The following is a 22,278-nucleotide window of genomic DNA, read 5'->3' on the forward strand; positions in this document are numbered from 1 at the left end:
CATTTGCCAGTGGCGTGACTCTGAACGAGTTACTTAACCTCTCTAACCATTGTCTTCCTCATCTGTAAAATGGGGAGCATAATACCAGACTGAGCCACGTGAAATTGTGAATAGCCAGACATTTTTGACTTACAAAAATGCCACTTGCTATGTTTCAGCCTAATAATACCCGGTTTGCTGGGCTGCTGTGAGGTCAAGTAGGCAAAGGGCCGAGACAGGCCGGGCCCACGGTGAGTGCTCAGCCAACAGTGGTGGCAGTGGGGGGGTGGCGGTGGGGGGGCTTGCTATAATTAGCAATCTTTCCTAGAGCCAGAGAGGATTTTGGAAGAGTGGCCCCTGCCTAGGATTCTAGGATGTCTGACTCCCAGATAGCTCCTGGGAGCTGCCCAGGGGTCTACTCACCCCGAGGGTCCACTGGGCAGGATAGGCGTGGGCATTGACCCACGTGACCTTTAGGGCCCACCTGGCCTTGTAGCCCCCGTTGTTTGTCATCTTTCTAATCCAAGACTCGGCCTGCTGGACTAGCAGGCTGTGTTCACCATAGAACGTCTCGTATTCCTAGGAAAGGAGGGCAGATGAAAACAAGCCAACGAGGGTCCCACTCCTACACATGGGCCCCCCACTTTCTGCCTGAGGACCCTGCCCACTTCAGCCCACCCAATGGCCTGCCCTCCCCTGTCCCAGGCCTGCATTTTTGCCGTGAGCTTTTCTGAGGTGAAGTTCAATTCAAACTTGGGCTGCAGGAAGGCCTGCAGTGTGCAGAATGCAGGGTCGTGGCCCAGACGTCCAAGACCTCTGGACTTGAACTCAAGCATCTTAGCTCAAACTGGCCCAGAGAGCAGAGCCACTCGGGCCCACTTTTACCTCCCCATGCCTAATCTGCAGCTTCTTGAGAACAGGCGTGAGTCTCTTCCTCTTGGAGCCTCCACACTGCCCTGTCCGTGGCAGGGGCACGGTCCACACTTCCTGCAGTAGCTTTCATCACATTTCCTCTGATTGGAGTTATTCACCCAGTCCAGGAGCACAGGACGGGCCCTCTTGACTCACTCTTGTTAGGATAGACCCCCTACAGCCTGATTTTACAATCAAAGGCTGAATTGTCAGCCCCCATCCCCCGTCACCTGTAGGTCTTCTCGTGGCCGGGTTGGGGTATTCCTGGTCAGTCTCGCGGCCGGGTTGGGGTATTCCTGGTCAGTCTCGTGGTTGGGTTGGGGTATTCCTGGTCAGTCTCGTGGTTGGGTTGGGGTATTCCTGGTCAGTCTCGTGGCCGGGTTGGGGTATTCCTGGTCAGTCTCGTGGCCGGGTTGGGGTATTCCTGGTCAGTCTCGCGGCCGGGTTGGGGTATTCCTGGTCAGTCTCGTGGTTGGGTTGGGGTATTCCTGGTCAGTCTCGTGGTTGGGTTGGTGTATTCCTGGTCAGTCTCGTGGTTGGGTTGGGGTATTCCTGGTCAGTCTCGTGGTTGGGTTGGGGTATTCCTGGTCAGTCTCGTGGTTGGGTTGGGGTATTCCTGGTCAGTCTCGTGGTTGGGTTGGGGTATTCCTGGTCAGTCTCGTGGTTGGGTTGGGGTATTCCTGGTCAGTCTCGCGGCCGGGTTGGGGTATTCCTGGTCAGTCTCGTGGTTGGGTTGGGGTATTCCTGGTCAGTCTCGTGGTTGGGTTGGGGTACTCCTGAGTCAGCTTAATGTCCCTTGACTGCTTCCTCCCACACCCATATTTAAGCCTCAGTCCCCTGCTGCAGGGGCTGTCACAGCAGCAACTCTGGCAAAGCCTTCCACACAGCTCTTTGTCTCCCCTGCCAGCTGCTGGGGGATCCTGACTGCCAGGCTTTGAAAGGCTCACCTGATAAAATGTGGTCCCCCGACCAGTGGAGAAGTCAGCATCGTCCCAGAACGGAGCCACCAGGGCCACAGGGTCCCGGCCTGTGAAGCCTGTTGGGAGTGGGTTGGGGTAGGAGAAAATCTGGTAGTCTGACTCTGGGAAGATGATCTGGCCATTGTCTGTGAACTGAGCACATGGGTTTTGTGGTCAGCATTCAGGGAGGGAAGTGGGGAGGAAAGTCCCAGCCTTGGTCCAGCTCCTCAAAAGCGTGACCCCCAAGGGTAGAGCTTTAGAGATGCTAACAACCCCTGGAAGTCACCTCCTGTGTCCTGTTTTGGGGAGAGCCCTTTCCATATATTCTCACAGAATGCTCCGCCCTCAGGCCATCCCTTGCGTCCTCGGGTGGTAGGCTTGGTCCTGTTTCACTGCAGATCCCTGGCTGTGGACCAGCCCCTCACAGGCACACCCCTCTTGGCCAGTCCCCTGGGCCCCATCCTGAAGTTTGCGACACATTAGGTGGGGCTCAGGGAGTGGAACCCTCTCTCCATCGCTCAGGGGGTGGAGCCCTCCCTCCATCGCTCAGTGGGTGGAGCCCTCCCTCCGTCGCTCAGGGGTGTAGACACCCTCTCTCCATCGCTCAGGGGTGCAGACACCCCATCTCCATCACTTAGGGGGTGGAACCCTCTATCTATTGCTCAGCAGGTGTAGACACCCTCTCTCCATCGCTCAGGGGTGTAGACACCCTCCCTTCATCGCTCAGGGGTGTAGACACCCTCCCTTCATCGCTCAGGGGTGTAGACACCCTCCCTCCATCGCTCAGGGGTGTAGACACCCTCTCTCCATCGCTCAGGGGTGTAGACACCCTCCCTTCATCGCTCAGGGGTGTAGACACCCTCCCTTCATCGCTCAGGGGTGTAGACACCCTCTCTCCACCGCTCAGGGGTGTAGACACCCTCTCTCCATCGCTCAGGGGTGCAGACACCCCATCTCCATCACTTAGGGGGTGGAAACCTCTCTCTATCACTCAGCAGGTGTGGACACCCTCTCTCCATCCCTCAGGGGTGTAGACACCCTCCCTTCATCGCTCAGGGGTGTAGACATCCTCTCTCCATCGCTCAGGGGTGTAGACACCCCCTCTCCATCGCTCAGGGGTGTAGACACCCCCTCTCCATCGCTCAGGGGTGTAGACACCCTCTCTCCATCGCTCAGGGGTATAGACACCCTCCCTTCATCGCTCAGGGGTGCTCAGGGCTATAGACACCCTCCCTTCATCGCTCAGGGGTGTAGACACCCTCTCTCCATCGCTCAGGGGTGTAGATACCCTCTCTCCATCGCTCAGGGGTGTAGACACCCTCTCTCCATCGCTCAGGGGTGTGGACACCCTCTCTCCATCGCTCAGGGGTGTAGACACCCTCCCTTCATCGCTCAGGGGTGTGGACACCCTCTCTATCGTTCGGGGTGTAGACATCCTCTCTCCATCGCTCAGGGGTGTAGACACCCCCTCTCCATCGCTCAGGGGTGTAGACACCCTCTCTCCATCGCTCAGGGGTGCAGACACCCCATCTCCATCACTTAGGGGGTGGAAACCTCTCTCTATCACTCAGCAGGTGTAGATACCCTCTCTCCATCGCTCAGGGGTGCAGACACCCCATCTCCATCACTTAGGGGGTGGAAACCTCTCTCTATCGCTCAGCAGGTGTAGGCACCCCCCTCCATCGCTCAGGGGTGTAGACACCCTCTCTCCATCACTCAGGGGTGCAGACACCCCATCTCCATCACTTAGGGGGTGGAAACCTCTCTCTCACTCAGCAGGTGTGGACACCCTCTCTCCATCGCTCAGCAGGTGTGGACACCCTCTCTCTATCACTCAGCAGGTGTGGACACCCTCTCTCCATCGCTCAGCAGGTGTGGACACCCTCTCTCTATCGCTCAGCAGGTGTGGACACCCTCTCGCCATCGCTCAGCAGGTGTGGACACCCTCTCTCTATCGCTCAGCAGGTGTGGACACCCTCTCGCCATCGCTCAGCAGGTGTGGACACCCTCTCGCCATCGCTCAGCAGGTGTGGACACCCTCTCGCCATCGCTCAGCAGGTGTGGACACCCTCTCTCTATCGCTCAGCAGGTGTGGACACCCTCTCCATCGCTCAGTCGCCCTCTCATGCTGTGTTCGGACTCAGCCTCCTCCCTCAGGGCCACAGGAGCCAGGACTGTCCCTCCAACTCTGCTCCAGGAGGCAGGGACCAGGGGGCCAGAGACAAATCCCAGAAGGTGGAAACGGCAGGAACAGTCCAGTTTCCCAAGTGTAGCTTTTTACTCCTGAGAAGGCCCCGCAGAAGCAGCGGTGGGCCCAGCAGGTGGGCAGCCCTCGCCTGGCACCCTGTGTTCCTCAGGCAGAGGCCTGACATTAAGGAGGCTGTGGGGATGGACGAGGGGCCCAGCCAAGGCTGCTTCCATTCCCGCTTCCTCTGGGTTCCGTCTCGAAGCAGGAGAGAGAAGTGGGCCCTGGGAGTTCAGGCTGCGCGGGCCGCAGCCCGGACTCACGTAGAGGGAATCACGGAGAGAGGAGCCAAGGGGGAAGCCAGTCGCCGGCTTGAAGAGTGGGGAGGTGAAGTCCACGGTCCTCCTGACGAACTCCAGGTCCCCGGCGCCTGCCCCATAGGGGAAGAGGGAAACTCCTGGGCCAGGACAGAGAAGAGCAGGAAGTCCAAGTGGGCCTGGGCCTTCTTTAGGGCTGAAAGGGATCCCAGAGCGCTCCCTGCAGGCTGCCCACACCTGTCCTGTGTTCCCCGAGGGCCCCAGAGGCAGCCATCTAGGGTGCTTCTCGCTCCCTCTCCACCCACATTAAATGCATGTGGTCATTTTACTCCCTAAACTGCGCCTCTCATCCTTCCCCAGCTTGGAGAAAAACAGGTCCTGCTGTCAGAATACCAGCAAACGATTCTCAATCTCTTAGTCTCAATCCTTTTCAGGGTTAAAAGACAAAAGTCTATGCTGGGTGCGGTGGCTCACGCCTGTAATCCCAGCACTTTGGGAGGCTGAGGCGGGAGGATCACGAGGTCAGGAGTTCGAGACCAGCCTGACCAACATGGAGAAGCCCTGTCTCTACTTAAAATACAAAAATTAGCCGGGTGTGGTGGCGCATGCCTGTAATCCCAGCCACTCGGGAGGCTGAGGCAGGAGAATTGCTTGAACCCGGGAGGCTGAGGTTCCAGTGAGCTGAGATCGCGCCACTGCACTCCAGCCTGGGCAACAAGAGCGAAAACTCCATCTCAAAAAAAAAAAAAAAAATAGACAAAAGTCCAGCGCAATGAAGATGAGTAACTGCAAAGCCCTTTTCAGGGAATGAGACTTGTTTCCTAAGACGGCCTTTCTCCAGATAAACTTGAAGACTCCTCCAATTTAACCTAGGACTCCCTAGAGGCCCTCGGGCTCCAGTTTGAGAAACCTTGTCCCAAATATTTCTCGCAGCTGCCGACTCCTTGGCGCCCTCCCCTGGTCCTGCTTGGAAACCCGCAGGCTCTCCTGGCCTCCTCACTGCCTGCAAATCGGACCGCTCCAGGCACCACTTGTTAAATGCCATTTGTACAATGCAAAACTGAGTCCTCCCTGGCTCCCGTTGCCTACAGGATTCCCCGCATGCCGGCCGCACTTTTTGCTACCCTTCTTCTCATTTTCAGCCACCCCAAATGCTTCGGGGATCCACCCCCATGCAGCACCGGGACGACTTTCTGCAGCCATACCTACCACACTCGTACCTTCCACACCCATACCTTCCACACCCATACCTTCCACACCCATACCTTCCACACCCATACCTTCCACACCCATACCTTCCACAGTCATACCTTCCACACCCATACCTTCCACAGCCATACCTTCCACACCCATACCTTCCACACCCATACCTTCCACAGTCATACCTTCCACACCCATACCTTCCACACCCATACCTTCCACACCCATACCTTCCACACCCATACCTTCCACAGTCATACCTTCCACACCCATACCTTCCACAGTCATACCTTCCACACCCATACCTTCCACACCGATACCTTCCACACCCATACCTTCCACACCCATACCTTCCACATCCATACCTTCCACACCCTTACCTTCCACACCCATACCTTCCACACCCATACCTTCCACACCCTTACCTTCCACACCCATACCTTCCACGGCCATACCTTCCACGGTCATACCTTCCACACCCATACCTTCCACGGCCATACCTTCCACACCCATACCTTCCACACCCATACCTTCCACACCCATACCTTCCACACCCATACCTTCCACAGTCATACCTTCCACACCCATACCTTCCACACCCATACCTTCCACATCCATACCTTCCACAGTCATACCTTCCACACCCATACCTTCCACATCCATACCTTCCACGGCCATAACTTCCACACCCATACCTTCCACACCCTTACCTTCCACACCCATACCTTCCACACCCATACCTTCCACACCCTTACCTTCCACACCCATACCTTCCACAGCCATACCTTCCACACCCATACCTTCCACAGTCATACCTTCCACACCCATACCTTCCACACCCATACCTTCCACATCCATACCTTCCACACCCATACCTTCCACACCCATACCTTCCACACCCATACCTTCCACACCCATACCTTCCACACCCATACCTTCCACACCCATACCTTCCACAGTCATACCTTCCACACCCATACCTTCCACACCCATACCTTCCACAGCCATACCTTCCACACCCATACCTTCCACACCCATACCTTCCACACCCATACCTTCCACACCCATACCTTCCGCACCCATACCTTCCGCACCCATACCTTCCACACCCATACCTTCCGCATCCATACCTTCCACACCCATACCTTCCACACCCATACCTTCCGCACCCATACCTTCCACACCCATACCTTCCGCACCCATACCTTCCACACCCATACCTTCCACACCCATACCTTCCACACCCATACCTTCCACACCCATACCTTCCACAGTCATACCTTCCACACCCATACCTTCCACACCCATACCTTCCACACCCTTACCTTCCACACCCATACCTTCCACAGTCATACCTTCCACACCCATACCTTCCACACCCATACCTTCCACACCCATACCTTCCACACCCATACCTTCCACACCCATACCTTCCACACCCATACCTTCCACGGCCATACCTTCCACAGTCATACCTTCCACACCCATACCTTCCACACCCATACCTTCCACACCCATACCTTCCACACCCTTACCTTCCACACCCATACCTTCCACAGTCATACCTTCCACACCCATACCTTCCACAGTCATACCTTCCACACCCATACCTTCCACACCCATACCTTCCACATCCATACCTTCCACACCCATACCTTCCACACCCATACCTTCCACACCCATACCTTCCACACCCATACCTTCCACAGTCATACCTTCCACACCCATACCTTCCACAGTCATACCTTCCACACCCATACCTTCCACACCCATACCTTCCACATCCATACCTTCCACACCCATACCTTCCACACCCATACCTTCCACACCCATACCTTCCACAGTCATACCTTCCACACCCATACCTTCCACAGTCATACCTTCCACACCCATACCTTCCACACCCATACCTTCCACATCCATACCTTCCACACCCATACCTTCCACACCCATACCTTCCACACCCATACCTTCCACACCCTTACCTTCCACACCCATACCTTCCACACCCATACCTTCCACACCCATACCTTCCACACCCTTACCTTCCACACCCATACCTTCCACACCCATACCTTCCACACCCATACCTTCCACACCCATACCTTCCACACCCTTACCTTCCACACCCATACCTTCCACAGTCATACCTTCCACACCCATACCTTCCACAGTCATACCTTCCACACCCATACCTTCCACACCCATACCTTCCACACCCATACCTTCCACACCCATACCTTCCACACCCATACCTTCCACACCCATACCTTCCACAGTCATACCTTCCACACCCATACCTTCCACACCCATACCTTCCACATCCATACCTTCCACACCCATACCTTCCACACCCATACCTTCCACACCCATACCTTCCACACCCTTACCTTCCACACCCATACCTTCCACACCCATACCTTCCACACCCATACCTTCCACACCCATACCTTCCACACCCATACCTTCCACATCCATACCTTCCACACCCATACCTTCCACACCCATACCTTCCACACCCATACCTTCCACAGCCATACCTTCCACACCCATACCTTCCACACCCATACCTTCCACACCTTTGTTCCAGCTGTTCCCGCCCTCCTCCCTGCCTGGGGTGCTCCTCCATCCCCGGCTCTGCATTCCTTAGGGCCTTCCATTGTGTGCACTTAGACCCTGGGATGAGTCCTCTAACCGCCGCTACCGGACCGTCCATCTATCCCTTGCTGAATGGCACTGGGGTCATTTCTCTGTCTCCAGCTCCTGGCCCAGTGCCATGCACAAAGCCAGCCCTCAGGAGCGACTCCGATGCTGTGTCCCTGTCCTCGGTAAGGCCCTCCCCACCCGAGAGAGCGGAGACTGTGGGAAGTAGGCTGAGAGGGAGCCTTCAGTTACATCACCCCTCAAAAGGCACAGGCCTCACCTGTATGGCCTCACCTCTCTCAGGCAGGATGGGGATGGGGGCAGCTGTGGAGCGGGTGTGCATGGCAGTGCTGGGAATGGTGGAAATGATGGTCTGGGAGGTTGTGGGGGGTGGTGATGTGGCTGTGCGTCTCCCACCGTCTGTCTTCAGTGACGGTGTTGTCATTCCTGGACACGTGAAAAGACAAGGCGGGGTGTTTCTTACAGTAACAAAACAGGAGAGTCAAAGAGATTCAAAGAAATCAGGAGCTGGAAGAGGGAGCTGGAAACTCCTTGTCTCTCCCCTGCTCATATCCAAACTACTCTCGACATCAGTGCTTTTCGATTGCGGCACAAAGGAGGGTGAGCCTGTCACCCACCACACCCATCACCTCCTCCCCTGTGGGACCTGACACGGCCCCACCAGGTAATGCGAATGCACCAGTGTTCTCAGGTACTCCTTAGGCTGAATTCCGCCAAGGGGCCCACTGGGAGACATAAAGGCGAGGCAGTTGGCAGCTACCTGGTGTTTCCATCTTCAGAGGGGAGTCCGAGGATACTGTGGAAGCTGAGGTAGCACTGCTGACAGCAAGAGGGGTGGCGTGACCTGTGGATACTGAGGAAAGGCTGGTGACAGGAAGAGGGGTGGCGTGACCTGTGGATGCTGAGGAAGTGTCGGTGACAGGAAGAGGGGTGGCGTGACCTGTGGATGCTGAGGAAGTGTCGGTGACAGGAAGAGGGGTGGTGTCACCTGTGGATGCTGAGGAAGTGCTGGTGACAGGAAGAGGGGTGCCGTGACCTGTGGACACTGAGGAAGCGTCGGTGACAGGAAGAGAGGTGGTGTGACCTGAGGATGCTGAGGAAGGGATGGTGACAGGAAGAGGCGTGGTGTCACCTGTGGATACTGAGGAAAGGCTGGTGACAGGAAGAGGGGTGGCCTGACCTGTGGATGCAGAGGAAGTGTCGGTGACAGGAAGAGGCGTGGTGTCACCTGTGGATACTGAGGAAAGGCTGGTGAGAGGAAGAGGGGTGGCGTGACCGGTGGATGCTGAGGAAGCATCGGTGACAGGAAGAGTGCTGGTGTCACCTCTGGATGCTGAGGAAGGGCTGGTGACATGAAGAGGGGTGGCGTGACCTGTGGATAATGAGGAAGCATTGGTGACAGGAAGAGGGGTGGTGTCACCTGTGGATGCTGAGGAAGTGCTGGTGACAGGAACAGGGGTGGCGTGACCTGTGGATGCTGAGGAAGGGCTGGTGACAGGAAGAGGGGTGGCGTGACCTGTAGATACTGAGGAAGTGCTGGTGACAGGAAGAGGGGTGGCGTGACCTGTGGATACTGAGGAAGTGTCGGTGACAGGAAGGGGGGTGGCGTGACCTGTGGATGCTGAGGAACGGCTGGTGACAGGAAGAGAGGTGGCGTGACCTGTGGATACTGAGGAAGTGTCGGTGACAGGAAGAGGGGTGGTGTCACCTGTGGATGCTGAGGAAGTGCTGGTGACAGGAAGAGGGGTGGCATGTCCTGTGGATGCCGAGGAAACGTCGGTGACAGGAAGACGGGTGGTGTCATCTGTGGAAGCTGAGGAAGTGTCGGTGACAGGAAGAGGGGTGGCGTGACGTGTGGATGCTGAGGAAGTGTCGGTGACAGGAAGAGGGGTGGTGTCACCTGTGGAAGCTGAGGAAAGGCCGGTAACAGGAAGAGGGGTGGCGTGACCTGTGGATGCTGAGGAAGGGCTAGTGACAGGAAGAGGCATGGTGTCACCTGTGGATACTGAGGAAGGGATGGTGACAGGAAGAGGGGTGGCGTGACCTGTGGATGCTGAGGAAGCGTCGGTGACAGGAAGAGGGGTGGTGTCACCTGTGGATACTGAGGAAAGGCTGGTGACAGGAAGAGGGGTGGCCTGACCTGTGGATGCTGAGGAAGTGTCGGTGACAGGAAGAGGGGTGGTGTCACCTGTGGATGCTGAGGAAGCGTCGGTGACAGGAAGAGGCGTGGCGTGACCTGTGGACACTGAGGAAGCGTCGGTGACAAGAAGAGGGGTGGCGTGACCTGTGGATGCTGAGGAAGTGCTGGTGACAGGAAGAGGGGTGACGTGACCTGTGGATGCTGAGGAAGGGCTGGTGACATGAAGAGGGGTGACGTGACCTGTAGATACTGAGGAAGTGCTGGTGACAGGAAGAGGGGTGGTGTGACCTGAGGATGATGAGGAAGGGATGGTGACAGGAAGAGGGGTGGCCTGACCTGTGGATGCTGAGGAAGTGTCCGTGACAGGAAGACGGGTGGTGTCACCTGTGGATGCTGAGGAAGTGTCGGTGACAGGAAGAGGGGTGGCGTGACCTGTGGATACTGAGGAAGCGTCGGTGACAAGAAGAGGGGTGGTGTCACCTGTGGATACTGAGGAAAGGCTGGTGACAGGAAGAGGGGTGGCCTGACCTGTGGATGCTGAGGAAGTGTCCGTGACAGGAAGACGGGTGGTGTCACCTGTGGATGCTGAGGAAGTGTCGGTGACAGGAAGAGGGGTGGCGTGACCTGTGGATACTGAGGAAGCGTCGGTGACAAGAAGAGGGGTGGTGTCACCTGTGGATACTGAGGAAAGGCTGGTGACAGGAAGAGGGGTGGCCTGACCTGTGGATGCCGAGGAAGCGTCGGTGACAGGAAGAGGGGTGGTGTCACCTGTGGATACTGAGGAAAGGCTGGTGACAGGAAGAGGCGTGGCGTGACCGGTGGATACTGAGGAAGTGTCGGTGACAGGAAGAGGGGTGGCGTGACCGGTGGATGCTGAGGAAGCGCCGGTGACAGGAAGAGTGCTGGTGTCACCTGTGGATGCTGAGGAAGGGATGGTGACATGAAGAGGGGTGGTGTGACCTGTAGATGCTGAGGAAGGGCTGGTGACAGGAAGAGGGGTGGTGTCACCTGTGGATGCTGAGGAAGTGTCGGTGACAGGAAGAGGGGTGGTGTGACCTGTAGATGCTGAGGAAGTGCTGGTGACAGGAACAGGGGTGGCGTGACCGGTGGATGCTGAGGAAGTGCTGGTGACAGGAAGAGGGGTGGCGTGACCTGTGGATGCTGAGGAAGGGCTAGTGACAGGAAGAGGCATGGTGTCACCTGTGGATACTGAGGAAGTGTTGGTGACAGGAAGAGGGGTGGCCTGACCTGTGGATGCCGAGGAAATGTCGGTGACAGGAAGACGGGTGGTGTCACCTGTGGAAGCTGAGGAAAGGCCGGTGACAGGAAGAGGGGTGGCGTGACCTGTGGATACTGAGGAAGTGTCGGTGACAGGCACAGGGGTGGTGTCACCTGTGGATGCTGAGGAAGGGCTGGTGACATGAAGAGGGGTGGCGTGACCTGTGGATGCTGAGGAAGCGTCGGTGACAAGAAGAGGAGTGGCGTGACCTGTGGATACTGAGGAAGTCTCGGTGACAAGAAGAGGGGTGGTGTCACCTGTGGATGATGAGGAAGTGTCGGTGACAGGAAGAGAGGTGGTGTCACCTGTGTATGCTGAGGAAGTGTCGGTGACAGGAAGAGAGGTGGTGTCACCTGTGGATGCTGAGGAAGTGTCGGTGACAGGAAGAGAGGTGGCATGACCGGTGGATGCTGAGGAAGGGCTAGTGACAGGAAGAGGCGTGGTGTCACCTGTGGATACTGAGGAAAGGCTGGTGACAGGAAGAGGGGTGGCCTGACCTGTGGATGCTGAGGAAGCGTCGGTGACAAGAAGAGGAGTGGCGTGACCTGTGGATGCTGAGGAAGGGCTAGTGACAGGAAGAGGCGTGGTGTCACCTGTGGATACTGAGGAAAGGCTGGTGACAGGAAGAGGGGTGGCCTGACCTGTGGATGCTGAGGAAGTGTCGGTGACAGGAAGAGGGGTGGTGTCACCTGTGGATGCTGAGGAAGTGCTGGTGACAGGAAGAGCGGTGGCCTGACCTGTGGATGCTGAGGAAGTGTCGGTGACAGGAAGAGGGGTGGTGTGACCTGTGGATGCTGAGGAAGGGCTAGTGACAGGAAGAGGCGTGGTGTCACCTGTGGATACTGAGGAAAGGCTGGTGACAGGAAGAGGGGTGGCGTGACCTGTGGATGCTGAGGAAGTGTCGGTGACAGGAAGCGGGGTGGCGTGACCGGTGGATGCTGAGGAAGGGCTGGTGACATGAAGAGGGTTGGCGTGACCTGTGGATGCTGAGGAAGTGTCGGTGACAGGAAGCGGGGTGGCGTGACCGGTGGATGCTGAGGAAGGGCTGGTGACATGAAGAGGGGTGGCGTGACCTGTGGATATTGAGGAAGTGTCGGTGACAGGAAGAGAGGTGGCGTGACCTATGGATGCTGAGGAAGTGTCGGTGACAGGAAGAAGGGTGGCGTGACCTGTGGATGCTGAGGAAGTGTCGGTGTCAGGAAGAGGGGTGGCGTGACCTGTGGATGCTGAGGAAGTGTCGGTGACAGGAAGAGAGGTGGCGTGACCTGTGGATGCTGAGGAAGTGTCGGTGACAGGAAGAGGGGTGGTGTCACCTGTGGATACTGAGGAAAGGCTGGTGACAGGAAGAGGGGTGGCCTGACCTGTGGATGCTGAGGAAGTGTCGGTGACAGGAAGAGGCGTGGTGTCACCTGTGGATACTGAGGAAAGGCTGGTGAGAGGAAGAGGGGTAGCGTGACCTGTGGACACTGAGGAAGCGTCGGTGACAGGAAGAGGGGTGGCATGACCTGTGGACACTGAGGAAGCGTCGGTGACAGGAAGAGAGGTGGCGTGACCTGTGGACACTGAGGAAGCGTCGGTGACAGGAAGAGGGGTGGTGTGACCTGAGGATGCTGAGGAAGGGATGGTGACAGGAAGAGAGGTGGCATGACCTGTGAACACTGAGGAAGCGTCGGTGACAGGAAGAGAGGTGGCGTGACCTGTGGACACTGACGAAGCGTCGGTGACAGGAAGAGGGGTGGTGTGACCTGTGGATGCTGAGGAAGGGCTGGTGACATGAAGAGGGGTGGCGTGACCTGTGGATACTGAGGAAGTGTTGGTGACAGGAAGAGGGGTGGCGTGACCTGTGGATGCTGAGGAAGTGTCGGTGACAGGAAGAGGGGTGGTGTCACCTGTGGATACTGAGGAAGTCTCGGTGACAAGAAGAGGGGTGGTGTCACCTGTGGATGATGAGGAAGTGTCGGTGACAGGAAGAGAGGTGGTGTCACCTGTGTATGCTGAGGAAGTGTCGGTGACAGGAAGAGAGGTGGTGTCACCTGTGGATGCTGAGGAAGTGTCGGTGACAGGAAGAGAGGTGGCATGACCGGTGGATGCTGAGGAAGGGCTAGTGACAGGAAGAGGCGTGGTGTCACCTGTGGATACTGAGGAAAGGCTGGTGACAGGAAGAGGGGTGGCCTGACCTGTGGATGCTGAGGAAGCGTCGGTGACAAGAAGAGGAGTGGCGTGACCTGTGGATGCTGAGGAAGGGCTAGTGACAGGAAGAGGCGTGGTGTCACCTGTGGATACTGAGGAAAGGCTGGTGACAGGAAGAGGGGTGGCCTGACCTGTGGATGCTGAGTAAGTGTCGGTGACAGGAAGAGGGGTGGTGTCACCTGTGGATGCTGAGGAAGTGCTGGTGACAGGAAGAGGGGTGGCGTGACCTGTGGATGCTGCGGAAGTGTCGGTGACAGGAAGAGAGGTGGCGTGACCTGTGGATGCTGAGGAAGGGCTGGTGACATGAAGAGAGGTGGCGTGACGTGTGGATAATGAGGAAGCATTGGTGACAGGAAGAGGGGTGGTGTCACCTGTGGATGCTGAGGGAGTGTCGGTGACAGGTAGAGGGGTGGTGTGACCTGTAGATGCTGAGGAAGGGCTGGTGACAGGAAGACGGGTGGTGTCACCTGTGGATACTGACGAAGCGTCGGTGACAAGAAGAGGGGTGGTGTGACCTGTGGATACTGAGGAAGTGTCGGTGCCAGGAAGAGGGGTGGTGTCACCTGTGGATGCTGAGGAAGTGCTGGTGACAGGAAGAGGGGTGGCATGACCTGTGGATGCCGAGGAAACGTTGGTGACAGGAAGACGGGTGGTGTCACCTGTGGAAGCTGAGGAAAGGCCGGTGACAGGAAGATGGGTGGCGTGACCTGTGGATGCTGAGGAAGTGTCGGTGACAGGAAGAGGGGTGGTGTCACCTGTGGATGCTGAGGAAGCGTCGGTGACAGGAAGAGGGGTGGTGTGACCTGAGGATGCTGAGGAAGAGCTGGTGACAGGAAGAGGGGTGGTGTCACCTGTGGATACTGAGGAAGCGTCGGTGACATGAAGAGGGGTGGCGTGACCTGTGGATGCTGAGGAAGGGCTAGTGACAGGAAGAGGCGTGGTGTCACCTGTGGATGCTGAGGAAAGGCTGGTGACAGGAAGAGGGGTGGCGTGACCTGTGGATGCTGAGGAAGCGTCGGTGACATGAAGAGGGGTGGCGTGACCTGTGGATGCTGAGGAAGGGCTAGTGACAGGAAGAGGAGTGGTGTCACCTGTGGATACTGAGGAAAGGCTGGTGACAGGAAGAGAGGTGGCGTGACCTGTGGACACTGAGGAAGCGTCGGTGACAGGAAGAGGGGTGGTGTCACCTGTGGATGCTGAGGAAAGGCTGGTGACAGGAAGAGGGGTGGCCTGTCCTGTGGATGCTGAGGAAGTGTCGGTGACAAGAAGAGGGATGGCGTGACCTGTGGATGCTGAGGAAGGGCTGGTGACAGGAAGAGGGGTGGCCTGACCTGTGGATGCTGAGGAAGTGTCGGTGACAGGAAGAGGGGTGGCGTGACCTGTGGATGCTGAGGAAGTGTCGGTGACAGGAAGAGAGGTGGCGTGACCTGTGGATGCTGAGGAAGTGTCGGTGACAGGAAGAGAGGTGGCGTGACCTGTGGATACTGAGGAAGTTTCGGTGACAGGAAGAGGGGTGGTGTCACCTGTGGATGTTGAGGAAGGGCTGGTGACAGGAAGAGGGGTGGTGTCCCCTGTGGATAATGAGGAAGCATCGGTGTCATGAAGAGCGGTGGCGTGACCTGTGGATACTGAGGAAGCGTCGGTGACAAGAAGAGAGGTGGCGTGACCTGTGGATATTGAGGAAGCGTCGGTGACAAGAAGAGGGGTGGCGTGACCTGTGGATGCTGAGGAAGGGTTAGTGACAGGAAGAGGCGTGGTGTCACCTGTGGATACTGAGGAAAGGCTGGTGACAGGAAGAGGGGTGTCCTGACCTGTGGATGCTGAGGAAGTATCGGTGACAGGAAGCGGCGTGGTGTCACCAGTGGATGCTGAGGAAAGGCTGGTGACAGGAAGAGGGGTGGCCTGTCCTGTAGATACTGAGGAAGTGTCGGTGACCGGAAGAGGGGTGGCATGACCTGTGGACACTGAGGAAGCGTCGGTGACAGGAAGAGGGGTGGCGTGACCTGTGGACACTGAGGAAGCGTCGGTGACAGGAAGAGAGGTGGCGTGACCTGTGGGTACTGAGGAAGCGTCGGTGACAGGAAGAGGGGTGGTGTGACCTGAGGATGCTGAGGAAGGGCTAGTGACAGGAAGAGGCGTGGTGTCACCTGTGGATGCTGAGGAAAGGCTGGTGACAGGAAGAGAGGTGGCGTGACCTGTGGATACTGAGGAAGCGTCGGTGACATGAAGAGGGGTGGTGTCACCTGTGGATGCTGAGTTAGTGTCGGTGACAGGAAGAGGGGTGGTGTCACCTGTGGATACTGAGGAAGCGTCGGTGACAAGAAGAGAGGTGGCGTGACCTGTGGACACTGAGGAAGCGTCGGTGACAGGAAGAGAGGTGGTGTGACCTGAAGATGCTGAGGAAGGGATGGTGACAGGAAGAGAGGTGGTGTCACCTGTGGATGCTGAGGAAGCGTCGGTGACAGGAAGAGGGGTGGTGTCACCTGTGGATGCTGAGGAAGGGCTGGTGACAGGAAGAGGGATGGCCTGACCTGTGGATGCCGAGGAAACGTCGGTGACAGGAAGACGGGTGGTGTCATCTGTGGAAGCTGAAGAAAGGCCGGTGACAGGAAGTGGGGTGGCGTGAGCTGTGGATACTGAGGAAGTGTCGGTGACAGGAAGAGGGGTGGCCTGACCTGTGGATGCTGAGGAAGCGTCAGTGACAAGAAGAGGGCTGGCGTGACCTGTGGATGCTGAGGAAGGGCTAGTGACAGGAAGAGGCGTGGTGTCACCTGTGGATACTGAGGAAAGGCTGGTGACAGGAAGAGGGGTGGCCTGACCTGTGGATGCCGAGGAAACGTCGGTGACAGGAAGACGGGTGGTGTCATCTGTGGTAGCTGAGGAAAGGCCGGTGACAGGAAGAGGGGTGGCGTGACCGGTGGATGCTGAGGAAGTGCTGGTGACAGGAAGAGGGGTGGCGTGACCTGTGGATGCTGAGGAAGGGCTGGTGACATGAAGAGGGGTGGCGTGACCTGTGGATAATGAGGAAGCATTGGTGACAGGAAGAGGGGTGGTGTCACCTGTGGATGCTGAGGAAGTGTCGGTGACAGGAAGAGGGGTGGTGTGACCTGTAGATGCTGAGGAAGGGCTGGTGACAGGAAGAGGGGTGGTGTCACCTTTGGATGCTGAGGAAGTGTCGGTGACAGGAAGAGGGGTGGTGTGACCTGTAGATGCTGAGGAAGGGCTGGTGACAGGAAGAGGGGTGGTGTGACCTGTGGATACTGAGGAAGCGTCGGTGACAGGAAGAGGGGTGGTGTCACCTGTGGATGCTGAGGAAGGGCTAGTGACAGGAAGAGGCATGGTGTCACCTGTGGATGCTGAGGAAAGGCTGGTGACAGGAAGAGGGGTGGCGTGACCTGTGGATGCTGAGGAAGGGCTGGTGACATGAAGAGGAGTGACGTGACCTGTGGATGCTGAGGAAGTGCTAGTGACAGGAAGAGGCGTGGTGTCACCTGTGGATACTGAGGAAGTGTCGGTGACAAGAAGAGAGGTGGCCTGACCTGTGGATGCTGAGGAAGTGTCGGTGACAGGAAGAGGGGTGGTGTGACCTGTGGATGCTGCGGAAGGGATGGTTACAGGAAGAGAGGTGGCGTGATCTGTGGACACTGAGGAAGCGTCGGTGACAGGAAGAGGGGTGGCGTGTCCTGTGGATGCTGAGGAAGTGTCGGTGACAAGAAGAGGGGTGGCGTGACCTGTGGATGCTGAGGAAGGGCTAGTGACAGGAAGAGGCGTGGTGTCACCTGTGGATACTGAGGAAAGGCTGGTGACAGGAAGAGGGGTGGCCTGACCTGTGGATGCTGAGGAAGCATCAGTGACATGAAGAGGGGTGGTGTGACCTGTGGATACTGAGGAAGCGTCGGTGACAGGAAGAGGGGTGGTGTCACCTGTGGATGCTGAGGAAGGGCTAGTGACAGGAAGAGGCATGGTGTCACCTGTGGATGCTGAGGAAAGGCTGGTGACAGGAAGAGGGGTGGCGTGACCTGTGGATGCTGAGGAAGGGCTGGTGACATGAAGAGGAGTGACGTGACCTGTGGATGCTGAGGAAGTGCTAGTGACAGGAAGAGGCGTGGTGTCACCTGTGGATACTGAGGAAGTGTCGGTGACAAGAAGAGAGGTGGCCTGACCTGTGGATGCTGAGGAAGTGTCGGTGACAGGAAGAGGGGTGGTGTGACCTGTGGATGCTGCGGAAGGGATGGTTACAGGAAGAGAGGTGGCGTGATCTGTGGACACTGAGGAAGCGTCGGTGACAGGAAGAGGGGTGGCGTGTCCTGTGGATGCTGAGGAAGTGTCGGTGACAAGAAGAGGGGTGGCGTGACCTGTGGATGCTGAGGAAGGGCTAGTGACAGGAAGAGGCGTGGTGTCACCTGTGGATACTGAGGAAAGGCTGGTGACAGGAAGAGGGGTGGCCTGACCTGTGGATGCTGAGGAAGCATCAGTGACATGAAGAGGGGTGGTGTGACCTGTGGATACTGAGGAAGTGTCGGTGACAGGAAGAGAGGTGGCGTGACCTGTGGATGCTGAGGAAGTGTCGGTGACAGGAAGAGGGGTGGTGTGACCTGTGGATACTGAGGAAGTGTCGGTGACAGGAAGAGAGGTGGCGTGACCTGTGGATGCTGAGGAAGTGTCAGTGACAGGAAGAGGGGTGGTGTCACCTGTGGATGCTGAGGAAAGGCTGGTGACAGGAAGAGGGGTGACGTGACCTGTGGATGCTGAGGAAGTGTCAGTGACAGGAAGAGGGGTGCTGTCACCTGTGGATGCTGAGGAAAAGCTGGTGACAGGAAGAGGGGTGACGTGACCTGTGGATTCTGAGGAAGTGTCGGTGACAGGAAGAGGGGTGGTGTGACCTGTGGATACTGAGGAAGGGCTGGTGACAGGAAGAGGGGTGGCGTGACCTGTGGATACTGAGGAAGCATCGGTGACATGAAGAGGGGTGGTGTGACCTGTGGATGCCGAGGAAGCGTAGGTGACAGGAAGAGGGGTGGCGTTGCTGATGAGGGCCGTGGTGAAGGTTTTACCAGACCCTGAAGGTGACAGAGTGTGGGTCTCGGTTTGTGGAGATGTAAGCCCAGTGGATGTGATCGATGGAGGTGTGGGTGGGACTGTTGAGAAGGTGTCGGTTGCCTGGGACGCCAGGCTGATAGTGTCAGACCCTCTGCTGGTTCTTGTCCTCTGAGTCTGGGCCATCCGGGAAATGGCGGCTGTCTCCTGAGGAGAGGCACTGGGAGAAGTTGGGCTTGACTGTCCTGTCGGTCTCCCTGCAGTGGAGGCCTCAGAGAGGGTGGGATGAAAGGTGCCGGGGACGATCGAAGACGCCATTCCTGTGCTTACTGGGATGGCACCATGACTGGCTGAGGCGGACAGCAATTCGGTTGTTGACTGGGTTGTGTGACTGTCCCTGGAGGGGTTTGATGAAAACCTTGTCGTCTCTCCTGAGGTGGATATTCCTTCGCTTCCTGAAGGTGTTGTGCCACTCGCCCCGGATGAGGAAGGGGTAGCTGTGCCCGCTGAGGTGGTTCGTGACCCTGAGGAGGCCGGTTCGCTGGTCTGTGTTTGTCCAGAGGCCTCTGTGCTCTCAGCCTGGTGGGTATGGGTCATGGCTGCTGCTGTGTCAGGTGAGGTGCTGGCAGAGGCTGATGTCCATTGTCCTTCTGGGCCCCCTGGTGTTGACACTACAGAGTTGGCCAGAGTAAGGGCACCTGTTTTGGAAAGTGACGTGCCTCCTGAGGGCCCCAGGGTGGCATCATGGCTGCTGGGTGCTGCCTGCAGTGCTGTGGTCGGGGCCTGGGTTGTGTGACCATCCCCGGTGGGAGCTGGGGCAAAGGTTGTTGCTGCACTTATGGTGGGTGCGTCCTGAGGAACAATTTCTGAGGGCGAGTGCCCACTGGCTGTGAAGGAAGAACCTGGGGTGGTGACTGTCTTGGTGTCAGTCATGGGGGAGACGGACCTCGTGGTTTGTGATTCTTGTGTGGTCTGCGGGGCTTGAGTGTGACCCCTTTGGGAAACAGCTGGTGATTCCTGAGGAGAGGTGCTTGTGGAATGTATTGTTGAATGATTTGTTGATGGTGCCGTTGTAATTTGTTGGGATGTGTGTCTATCCAGCATAGGTGAAGAAGATGGGGATGTGGCCGTTTTTATCATCTGAGTCACACTGTAGCTTGGGCTGCTGAGAAGAGCCTCTCCAGTGGTCCCCGTTTCTTGTGTCCATTGTGTCTGGGCGCCTGCCCCTGTTGTTTTTGGGAGAGTTGTGCTGTGGGAGGAGTATGTGGTGGGCTCTCCTGGTTCCCCTATTGCTGAGACCTTAGAGGGGACCCTTGGAATAGTGCCAGCTGTCCCTGTAGATGGATTTCCTGTGACAAGCCTAGTGGCAGCACCTGTTGATGTTGAGGGCAGTTCTGTTTGTGACCAAGTTGTGTGGCCTTTGCTGGAGAATGAGGAAGGCCATGTTGTTGTTTCATGTAGAGTAAATATTTCTTGAGACACACCTGGAGAGAATGAGCTCCTCTCATGAGGCCGTCCTGTGGTCTCTGCACCTTCACTCTGCTGGGTGTGGAAAGCTGTGGATATTTTTGGAGGTAGAGAACTGGGGGAGAGTGCTGTTGACAGAGTGTCTGACCACCATATGGTTGAAACTTTGGAAGTGATTGCAGAAATGGTTCCACTTACAGATAGTGATGTCTCCTCTGTGTTTCCAAGAGTAGAGTCTCTGGAGGTTGGCATTCTGAACACCTTTGATGTTACCAGGAATGTATTGCTGACACTGGAAGGGGATGAGGTGGTTGTTTCACCAGAAGGGAATGTCTCCTGAGAAACTGTTCCACTTGGGTTGAATCCACTTGGTGAGGATAAAACAGTTGATGTTGTAACCGGTGTGAGGGTGTTGAGGGTGTTGATTTGAGATACTCTGGTGGTCTCCACGCTCTGAGTCTGGTGGTTCTTAGAAAAAGCTGTTGTGTCCTGAGTAGAAGTCCTTGAGAAAGTTGCTGGTGATTGTCCTTCTGGATCAAATGTTACTAAGGCTGCTGAGGTGACTGGCATAAGACTTCCAGTAACAGGTACTGATGATGTCTCCCCTGGGTTTCCAAGAGTGGAGCCTGTGGAGGTTGTCACTGTTATCTTCTCTGATGTCATCATGGATGTGTTTGTGACACTACAGAGGGATGAGGTAGCTGTTTCACCTGAAGGAGATGTCTTCTGAGAAACAGTCCCTGTCACATTGTGTACACTTGGAGAGAAAGAAGGAGTTGAAGTGGTTCTGTGTGTTAGGGTGCTGGTTTGAGATTCCCTGGTGGTCTGCGTGCTCCGAGTCCAGTGGTTCTGAGAAGAAGCTGATGTGTCTTGGATAGAGGTCCTCCAGGAAGTTGTTCGTGATTGTCCTTCCTGTCCAGCTGTTATTGAGACTGCTGAGGTCACTGGGGTAGAACTTTCAGTTCCTGCTGTTGATGTCTCTTCTGTGTTTCCAAGAGTGGAGTCTGTGGAGGTTGTCATTGTTATAGTCTTTGATGTCATCATGAGTGTGTTGGTGACACTGGAGGGAAATGATGTGGTCATTTCATCTGGAGGAGCTGTCTCCATCACATTGTGTACACTTGGGGAAGAAAAAAGAGTTGATGTCATCATCTGCGTGAGGGTGTCGGTTTGAGCTTTGCTGGTGGTCTCCGTGCTCTTAGTCTGGTGGTTCTGAGATGAAGCTGATATGTCCTGATTAGAGGTCCTTGAAGAAGCTGCAGTTGATTGTCCCTCTAGTGTCGCTGTTGTTGAGCCTGTTGAGGTGACTGGGGCAGCAGTTTTACTTCCAGTTATTAATGTGTCCTCTGTGGTTCCTGGAGTGAACCAAAATAGGCAAGCAGAGAGCTAAATCATGAATGAACTCCTATTCACAATTGCTACAAATAGAATAAAATACCTAGGAATACAGCTAACAAAGGATGTGAAAACTACCATTCTTCACAGAATGAGAACAAACTACTTTAAAATTCATATGGAATCAAAAAAGAACCCAAATAGCCAAGACAATCCTAAGCAAAAAGAACAAAGTGGGAGGCTACCTGACTTCAAACTATACTACAAGGCTACAGTAACCAAAACAGCATGGTACTGGTACCAAAACTGACATATAAACCAATGGAACAGAATAGATACCTTGGAAATAAGACCACACATCTACAACCATCTGATCTTTGACAAACCTGACAAAAGCAGGCAATGGGGAAAGGATTCTCTATTCAATAAATGGTGCTGGGAAAACTGGTTAGCCATATGCAGAAAACTGAAACTGGACCCCTTCCTTACACCTTATACAAAAATTAACTCAAGGCAGGTTAAAGACTTACATGTAAAACCCCAAACCATGAAAACCCTAGAAGAAAACCTAGGCAATACCATTCAGGACATAGACATAGGCAAAGATTTTATGA

The 22,278-nt window shown here is 56.0% G+C and overlaps 1 protein-coding gene across 3 annotated transcripts in view, besides 2 other annotated features; it reads right to left on the reverse strand.

Moving 5' to 3' along the window:
- The window catches only part of MUC4 (mucin 4, cell surface associated), a 65,159-nt gene that overhangs the window by 23,043 nt on the left and 19,838 nt on the right, over positions 1-22,278 (reverse strand). Inside the window, exons 2-6 of one of the 3 annotated variants that reach the window (NM_018406.7) lie at positions 8,977-21,684; positions 8,490-8,642; positions 4,359-4,492; positions 1,839-2,003; positions 403-558 (exon numbers count right to left, since the gene is read on the reverse strand). In NM_018406.7, the coding sequence (NP_060876.5) occupies positions 403-558; positions 1,839-2,003; positions 4,359-4,492; positions 8,490-8,642; positions 8,977-21,684 (13,316 nt within the window). The remainder of the gene's footprint in view (positions 1-402; positions 559-1,838; positions 2,004-4,358; positions 4,493-8,489; positions 8,643-8,976; positions 21,685-22,278) is intronic. The other 2 variants (NM_004532.6, NM_138297.5) reach the window with 2 other exon arrangements.
- Positions 8,528-9,727: an enhancer, noted in NCBI's record as "BRD4-independent group 4 enhancer chr3:195505212-195506411 (GRCh37/hg19 assembly coordinates)". NCBI's record gives its function as "activates an origin of replication core promoter dependent on BRD2, P300/CBP, MED14 and CDK7 cofactors, and independent of BRD4, by STARR-seq in HCT116 cells {active_cell/tissue: HCT116}" and the evidence as "EXISTENCE:reporter gene assay evidence [ECO:0000049][PMID:35650434]".
- Positions 11,479-11,978: an enhancer, noted in NCBI's record as "H3K27ac hESC enhancer chr3:195508163-195508662 (GRCh37/hg19 assembly coordinates)". NCBI's record gives its function as "activates a minimal SCP1, AML or CMV promoter by ChIP-STARR-seq in naive H9 embryonic stem cells {active_cell/tissue: H9 hESC(naive)}" and the evidence as "EXISTENCE:reporter gene assay evidence [ECO:0000049][PMID:30033119]".

The sequence above is a fragment of the Homo sapiens genome, chromosome 3, assembly GCF_000001405.40.
Source record: "Homo sapiens chromosome 3, GRCh38.p14 Primary Assembly".
Classification (NCBI taxonomy): domain Eukaryota; kingdom Metazoa; phylum Chordata; class Mammalia; order Primates; family Hominidae; genus Homo; species Homo sapiens.